At 41.8% G+C, this 9091-nt stretch overlaps 1 annotated feature.

Annotated features, from left to right (window-relative positions):
* Window positions 798-1347: an enhancer, noted in NCBI's record as "OCT4-NANOG-H3K27ac hESC enhancer chr9:7240589-7241138 (GRCh37/hg19 assembly coordinates)". NCBI's record gives its function as "activates a minimal SCP1, AML or CMV promoter by ChIP-STARR-seq in naive H9 embryonic stem cells {active_cell/tissue: H9 hESC(naive)}" and the evidence as "EXISTENCE:reporter gene assay evidence [ECO:0000049][PMID:30033119]".

The raw sequence follows: 9091 nt of genomic DNA on the forward strand, positions 1-9091 counted from the left end.
TGAGGACAGCATCAGCAGAGGCTTAATAGGGAGCCAGAACTCCCACCCTTGCACAGCAGTCATGAGGGATCTTCCCACCCACTGACTATTAACAGAGGCTGAGTGGAATCTGACCTTTCACCCAGTCAGGCTGCAATGTGGTGCCCTTTTCCTCAACCTGCCTGAGCAGTGTTAGAGAAGGCCTGCCAAAACAGGAGATTTAATTAAGATCTGGTCTCAACTTATCCCAAGAACTTGATAGGAGAAAAGCCAATCAACAGATGCCAATGCCAATATGACCCAGATGTTAAAATTACCTGAGAGGCCGGGCCTGCGGTGCTTATGCCTGTAATCCCAGTGCTTTGGAAGTCTGAGGTGGGAGGATTGCTTGAGGCCAGGAGTTTGCGAGCAGCTTGGGCAACATAGTAAGAATCTATCTTCACAGAAAATTTAAAAATTAGCCAGGTGTGGTGACATGCACCTATAGTCCTAGCTACTTGACAGGCTGGGACAGGAGGATTGCTTGAACCCAGGAGTTGGAGGCTGCAGTGAGTTATAATCATGCCACTGCCCTACAGCCTGGGTGACAGAGCAAGACTCCAGCTCTAAAAAAATACAATAAAATAATCTGAGAATGATTTTAAGGTAGCCGTCATAAAAATGCTTCAACAAGCGATTATAAACATGCTTGAAACAAATAAAATGGAAAGTCTCACCAAAAAAAGAGAAAATCACAGTACAATAAAAATAGAAGATATAAAAAAAGAATCAAATGGAAATTTTAAAACCAAAAAATACAATAACAAAACTCTCCATGGATAGGCTTAACATCAGAATCCAGGGAATAAAAGAAAGAATAAATGAACTTGAAGATAGAAAAACAGAAATTTTGAACACAGAGAAAATAGCCTGAAACAAAACAAAAAAGGGACAGTGCCTTAATGACCCATGGAACTATAACAAAAGAATGTTAATTAACATTCTTTAACATTCTTTAACATAACATTCTTCAACATTCTTTAACATAAATGAATGTTAATTCATGTCATCAAGTCTGGGAAGGAAAAGAGAATAAAGGCAAGAAGCTGAAAGGTATTCAAAGAAATAATGGCTGAAAACGTCCCAAATTTGACACACAACATAAAGCCGCAGATTAAAGAAGATGAGTAAACCCAAAACAGGATAAATTGGAGATCTATGCCAAGACACAGAATAAGCAAACTTCTGAAAACTAAAGGCAAAGTCCTAAAAGCAATGAGAGAGTTTTACTGAAAGGGGGAAACAATGGGAAAGATAGTGACTTTCTCATGGGAAATCATGAAGGCCAGGAGAAGCAGTGTCTTAAGGTCACATGCTGAATTAGTTTGTTCTTTCGAACAGTAATCTGCTCTTTAGGCAGCTTTACTCCAGATCGACACCCCATGGGAACCTCAGAACTTACCCTCAGGTGGTGGTGTCTAGCATTTGCTATGTTTGTTTTTGCCTTTAAGGAATTACGATTCTTTGATCTAGAGAAATAAAAATGATTAGAAGTTCTATTATTAGGAGACAGCTATTCATTAGCCCCTCAACTGCAAATTATCCTGCATTCTGAGAACTTCCGAGAAGCCTCCAGAACACATTACAGCAGCACAAAAAAAGCTAAGCCAGCTGCCTTTTGGGTGTATTTCATTCTGGGCCCAATATTATTTCCTTCAGCTCACACTCTCCTTGCTCTTCCCTTTCAAACAGTTCTTAGTTTTCTGAAGGCCATACCCCTTCCTTCTCACACTTCTTTCTTTTCTATTTATTTATTTTTTTTTGAGAGAGGGTCTCACTCTGTCTGTAGTGGTGCAATCCCAGCTCACTGCAACCTCTGCCTCCTGGGTTCAAGGGATTCTTTCACCTCAGCCTCCCTAGTAGCTGGGGCTACAGGCACGCACCACCACACCTGGCTAATTTTTGTATTTTTTGTAGTCTTTAAAAATTTTTTTAACACACACATATCTCCAAAAGATTTTTTTACAAAAGGAATGGATTTTGGGAAGAGACAAACATGGGCCAAGGGAGAAGTATGAAATAGAAAATGAATATATGGCTGACCCTTGAACACCACAGGCTTTAACTGCTTAGGGCAATAAAAGTGACACCAAGTGTGCCTGCCTCCCCTTTCACCTCCTCCGTCTCCTCTGCCTCCTCTGCCTCTGGCACCCCTGAGACAACAAGACCAACCCCTCCTCTTCTTCCTCCTCCTCGGCCTACTCACTGTGAAGAAAATGAGGGTAAAGACATTTATGATGACCACTTCCACTTAATGCATAGTAAATATATTTTCTCCTCCTTATGATTTTCTTAATTTTTTCTCTAGCTTACTTTGTTGTAAGAATACAGTATATAATACATTAACATATAAAATATGTGTTTATTGATTGTCAGCTGGTAAGGCTTCCAGTCAATAGTAGGCTATTAGCAGTTAAGTTTTGGGGGAGTTGAAAGTTATATGTGGATTTTTGACTGTGTATGGCATCAGCACTCCTAATCCCTGCATTGTTCAAGGGTCAACTGTAGATGTAAGGTAGTTTGTTAATTGTTTTATCACTCAAACTAGTACAGAGAATGTCCTGTACAACACAGTGCAATAAAGATTTAAAAATGGAGGTATTTCCTTTGAAAGACTGAAGATTTCGGTCTCTGCTATTTGGGACTGAGGCTGCAGTCCTTGATTTTGGATGGATCATTGGTAGTGTGGCATCCAATTTGCTGTTGCTGTGGCTTTTTCTAAGAACAAGTGAAAAGCCCTCAGGGTCCAGTCATGGGGGAAGTCACATGATCTCCTGATGGAATTACTTCTCTTCCCTTCTTTTTTTTCTTTTTCTTTCTTTCTTTTTTTTTTTTTTTTTTTCAGATGGAGTCTGGCTCTGTCACCCAGTGCAGTGGAGTGCAGTGGCGCGATCTCAGCTCACTGAAACCTCTGACTTCCGGATTCAAGCAATTCTTCAGCCTAAGCCTCCCAAGTAGCTGGGACTACAGGCACGTGCCACCAGGCCTGGCTAAGTTTTGTATTTTTAGTAGAGATGGGGTTTCACCATGTTGTCCAGGCTGGTCTGGAACTCCTGACCTCAAGTGATCCACCTGCCTCTGCCTTCCAAAGTGCTGGGATTACAGCATGAGCCACCCCGCCCGGCCTTCTCTTCCCTTCTGAGGAGACTGCTCAGCAGGCCCATTTTTCTGATGTGCCTGGAGAAAGTTTGCTCTGGTTTCTAAAGCTTAGTTATAGAACTTTATAGTCATAATGCCTGTTCATGGCCTCTCTCCTCTTGGTAGTAGGATCCGTAAGTTTCTTTCTTATAGGGTAGAGCAGACATTTGGTCTTTGCCAGGAAGAACCTGAGTGTGGTAGCAAGACCTTTCTAGAGAGAACTTGGGGCAGGATGATAAAGAAAACTAAACTGAAATTAATCCATAGTGTCTGTAGCTGAAAGCTACTTCTAGGACCTTTTGGTTAAGTCCTTCTGGTATAAAAAGCATTGGACAGTTGGGGTCCTGGATTCAAGTCTCATAGCCTATGAAACTTTGGGAAAATCCCTTTAACTTCTCTGTGATTCAGTTTCAAAATCTATGAAGTGACCCTCTCAACAGGGGTGGATGCAATGAGCTGAAATGTACAATATTAGACACCCAACAGTAGACAGCCCCAAGTTGTTATGGCAGTGCCTCAAGGGAGTCTTGAAGGACTTGGACTCCCTGCCTTTCTGCTCTGTCTTCTTGGCATTTGGTTGCTATTTCCAACATCATCTCATGGCCTCAGATGGCTGCTGGAACTCCACTCCTCTTCTCTGACATTTTGATGTTATGAAAGAGGGAAGAACAAAAAGGTCATATCTCACTACAGAGTCAGCTTTCCTTAAGCATATTAGCTACAAGGGAGGCTGGGAAATGTAGTCTTTGGGTTAGGACCATGGCTGCATCCAGTGGTGCAGGTGTTCTGTTGTTGAGGAATGGCAGCATGGTGGGGAGGAGATGGTACTGGGTAGACGAGCAGCAGTTCCAAAGGCAACAGTTGCCCTGGATGGGGATAGGAAACAGTCATCAGGGATGAGGTGGAGGGGGAGGAAAGTTGTCCAAGAGAAGGAGAGTTTTCTTCTATAGACATTTGGTATTTTGATTTTCATTCTGTCAGTTAAGCATGAGCTTATTTTGACCCACAGAAGGGATTTTTTGAGGCTCTGTTTGGCTCAGTGTGGAGATAGGAGGTTTATATGGAAAACAAACAACTCAGCCAGCAGCTGGGCACACACAATAAATTACTGCCAGGTTGTGGGAAACAGCAAAGTTTCTCTGAGCAGTAATTCTCATCTCTCTTCCTCTTTGATGAACACAAGGCCACAAAAAGTCCTTCACAATGACAGTTGTTTTAGCATCAGGGTTCTTAGTGGCTGACTTACAGAGAATTTCAGAATAGGATGTTATTTGCCATTTTTCTTATCTGGAAGATGAAACTGGGACAAGATAGTGACATTTTAGGTGGGAAGTTTCAACTATAAGGATTCAAGATCTTTTCCGCTTCCTTTTCTTTTGTCCTTTATACCCAATCAATCAATAACTTTGGCAATTTTTTTTTCCTTTAAGTATCTCCTACTTTTATCTTTTCCTCTCTGGTCACATTGCTCATGGGTCTGGATTACTGCCCCATCTGCCTCCCAACTAATCTCCCACACTCACCTTCTCATCCTAACTAGGCTACCCATGTTGCAGAGCAGTAGCTCTTCATTAAATCTATTTCTCATTCTGTTTTCTATCTGCTCAAAACCCTTCTACTACCTCCTCTTTTTTACATGAAGTTATCCATTTCTTCATGGGCATAAAAGTGAGAATTGTTGGGGGCTAAAGGAACAGATTACTCAGGCATTGGAGGTTAGATTCCTCTGTAAGATAGCATGCCTAGGCTTTATTTTCTATGTTGATAAAACACGGTTTTATCAACATAAAACATTTGCCGCAAGATAAAATAATTTCCTGTTTTGTCTTTCTATCGCTTGTTTTGTGTATTTCATACAGTCCTATAATTTTTCTGATGTGTCTGTGGTGGATGTGTTGCTTCCTGACAGTTGGGTAAGCATCTATTTCTACTCCCTATACTATATTCATTCCCTCATTCATTTACTTATTAATTATTCTAACAACGATTTTTTGAGGATTTTCTTCTCACCAAACATTACAGTAGCTGCTGAATTTATATTTGTATTGCAGTTGCAGGGTCATTACTCAAAATGATGTGGATTTCTCTCACCTCTTCATTTCACTTATAAAAATTGTATCATCTTTCAAGTCCCGATTCTATGTCAAATGTTACCAAGAAGTAATCGCCCCACTCCTCTAGCATTCATGGATTGATTCTGAATGTCTATAGGAATGCGATGCAGCTATGTTAGTCAAAGCTCTTTGACTGTCAGTGACGGAAACCCAACTCAGATTTTGCAGATCCTCACAGCCAAATTGCAGGAGGGACAGTTGCTTACATTTTGGGTTATTTGGAAGATGGAAGTTGAGGGCTCTCAGGGCTCTTTCCTCTCTCTCTGTTTTCCTCTCTTTCCATTTCTTTGTTTCCCTTGGCCCTGCTTGTTGCCTTCCTTCACCCCTGGAGGACACTGATGGGCCGTAAGGTATAGTTGGAATGTGATCTATACAACCTTTGGGCTTATATCCTATAGCTTTGTAATCATAGAGGATTTGTAATCATAAAGGATCGCAGGAGAGGATTCGAGCTGACCCGGCTAGAATCCCAAAGCCACCTCTCTGTGGCCTGTGGCTATAAGAAAGGGATGGCACACTGGATTGGCAGAAACAGTAGCTACTACAAAGTCTGCCCTAAAAGAATTGACCTGCTCTTGTTTTGGGAAAGATAAAAAATTTTGCCTTGGCCAGTCATGATCCTTCTGTGTTCACTGTAGGCTGTGATTCAATGGGCAATCTCTGAGGACAGCAATCACATCTTGTATTCTGTTAGATCAGGTCTAGTCCTAATTAACATGAGGAAGGGTGAGGGTAGGGCTCATTAGACACCCATTTTGAGGAAAGAGACAGATCATGAAGACCACTGGGGCATCTTTCATGTGACAGTCCCAGAGCTTTTGAGAGGCCAAGGTACAAGGTCTTCCAACACTTTCGAGAGCAGCATGTACCTGAGGCACATGGAAATTGCTGCCTGTCCACTCTGAGTTAAGTTGCTGTTGGTAAACTTGTATTCTAATCCGCTGTATTAGTCCATTTTCACACTGCTATAAAGATACTATCTAAGACTGGGTAATTTATAAAGAAAGGAAGTTTAATTGACTCACAGTGCTGCATGGCTGTGGGGGCCTCAGGAAACTCACAATCATGGTGGAAAGGGAAGCAGGCACCTTCTTTACAAGGTGGCAGGAGAGAGTGAAAGCGAGTACAGGAAAAACTGCCACTTTTAAAACCATCAGATCTCATGAGAGTCACTCCCTATCATGAGAACAGGATGGGGGAAACGGCCTCCATAATCCAATCACTTCCCTCCCTCCACGCGTGGGGATTACAATTCGAGATGAGATTTGGGCGGGGACACAGAGCCAAACAATATCATCCTCCCAGCTCTGACCTGCAGCCTGAGCTGGGGATGTGGCACACTGAACCCAGACTGATAGTGGTTGTTATATCCCAGTGTTTCTGCCCTGAGGGCTAGGTGAGGAGACTGTTTACTCAGTGTCCCTCGTGGGGGCTTCCTTCTGGTTACAGTCACCCAAAGGCCAGTATGTGTTAGGACAGTTCACAGAGCTGGTCACCAGGGCTGGTCAAGGCAGACCAGGAGGACAATCTGGGATGAGCCTCACGTTCAGAATTTTGATGTTGAGACGGTGGATATAGTGGTTATGTATGAGGTCAGAATACTGAATTCAAATCTTGTTTCTATAGCTTATGAGCTTTGAGATCTCTGATAAATTACTTTGTGTCTCTTAGTTTCAGAAGTAAATCAGGGATAATCAGGCATGCTGTTAAACTGTAATAATCTTCACAGATACCCAGTTAGACCAATCACAGTGGACTTGGGTGCTGGTCCTGGGGCAAGGAGCCAGGGGCCCTCTCTAGTTCTTTAGTTGATGAACATGGAGAGATGCAGAGGGTCCTAAGGGAAGTGCCCGGATGACTGCAGTGGCTGAGTTTTGACCACAGGGAGCTTGAGTTTTGATTTTTTCCCACCTGTAAATATTTCAATATTTTAAACCACTGCTATACGTGTAGGACTGGCCAAACATTACCCTGGGGATAGTAACTGTACTTCACAGGCCTTTTGTCAGGGCTATCAGTTAATGCGCAAGCCATGCATTGCTCAACCCCAGCAGTGTCATTTACTTCTGAGCCATGTAGAAGTGTGGAGTTACAATGACAATTTTCCAGCAGACAGTAGTAAAGTGTCTCAAGGAAAGAGTGTACTCTAATTTGCAGTATATTGCCATATGGATTAGTGGAGGGTCTGGCTGCTGTGAAGATTAAATGAGATAACCCATCCCAAGTGCTTAGAACAATGCAGGAGGGTAGTAAGACCTCAGTGTAAGTTAGTTATGACTCTCTATAAATGAAGTAATGTTGACTCATCAACAGCATGCTAAGAAGTAATTATTCATCATTAAACTTCAAACTTGTTATACCACGCTGCATGCTGTGTAAAATATATTCACTTTAAAAAATTAGTTCTGCCTTTTTCTTTTTCCCCCAACATGCAAAATTTCAAACATTCAGAAAAATGGAAAGAATTATGCATTGAACATCCACATATCCATGGTCTAGATTTTAAAATTAACATTTTTTTCTGTATTTGCTTTGTCACACATCTCTGCGTCTACCTATCCCTTTGTTTAGCCATCAATTTATTTTTAAGTGAATTTCAAAGTTTGTTGAAGGTATCAGTATACTTAATTATTGAACTTCAGCATACATATTATATTTAATATTGAACTTCAGCATACATATCATTAACTAGAGTTCAATATTTGTATGTATTTTTTAAGGTAAAGTTTACATGTAGTGAAATGTACAAAGTTTAAGTGTATCACTTGAGGCTGGGTGCAGTGGCTCACACCTGTAATCCCAGCACTTTGGGAGGCCTAGGTGGGCAGATAACCCGAGGTCAGGAGTTCAAGAGCAGCCTGGCCAACATGGTGAAACCCTGTCTCTATTAAAAATATAAAAATTAGCCAGGGGTGGTGGCGCACCCCCGTAATCCCAGCTACTTGGGAGAGTGAGGCAGGAGAATCACTTGAACTCGGAAGGCGGAGGTTGCAGTGAGCTGAAATCGCACCACTGCACTCCAGCCTGGGCAACAGAGTGAGACTCCATCTCAAAAAAAAAAAAAGTGTATCATTTGATAAATATTTATTCATACATCTGTGTAACCCAAACCCCTATCAAGATATAGAACATTGGCCGGGTGTGGTGGCTCATGCGTGTAATCCCAGCATTTTGGGAGGCCTAGGTGGGTGGATAACCTGAGGTCAGGAGTTCAAGAGCAGCCTGGCCAACATGGTGAAACCCCATCTCTACTAAAAATACAAAAATTAGCCAGGGGTGGTGGCAGACACCTGTAGTCCCAGCTACTTGGGAGGCTGAGGCAGGAGAATGGCATGAACCTGGGAGACCAAGCTTGTAGTGAGCCAGATCGCGCCTCTGCACTCCAGCCCTGGTGACAGAGCCAAGGTTCCATCTCAAAAAAAAAAAAAAAAAAAAAAAAAAAAAGATATAGAACATCATCATGGCCTAGAAAGTTCCCTTAGGCCACCATGTAGTCAGTGACCACTGCCACAACTCCTAGGCAACCACTCTTCTGATTTTTTTCACTCTATATTACTTTTTCCTGTGCTAAAACTTTATATGAATGGACTGTTACAGTACTTGTTCTTTTATGTAAGACTTCTTTCACTCAACATAATATTTTTGAGATATATCCACATCATTGAGTGTATTAGTAGGTCTATTCCTTTCAATTGATGAGTGGTATTACACTGTATGAGTATAACACGGTTTCTTTAGCTATTCTCCTGCTAATGGACACCTGCAATGTTTCCCATTTAGGTCTATTATGAATAAAACTGCTGTCATCATTCTAGTACAGG

Source organism: Homo sapiens, chromosome 9 (assembly GCF_000001405.40).
Source record: "Homo sapiens chromosome 9, GRCh38.p14 Primary Assembly".
Lineage (NCBI taxonomy): Eukaryota > Metazoa > Chordata > Mammalia > Primates > Hominidae > Homo > Homo sapiens.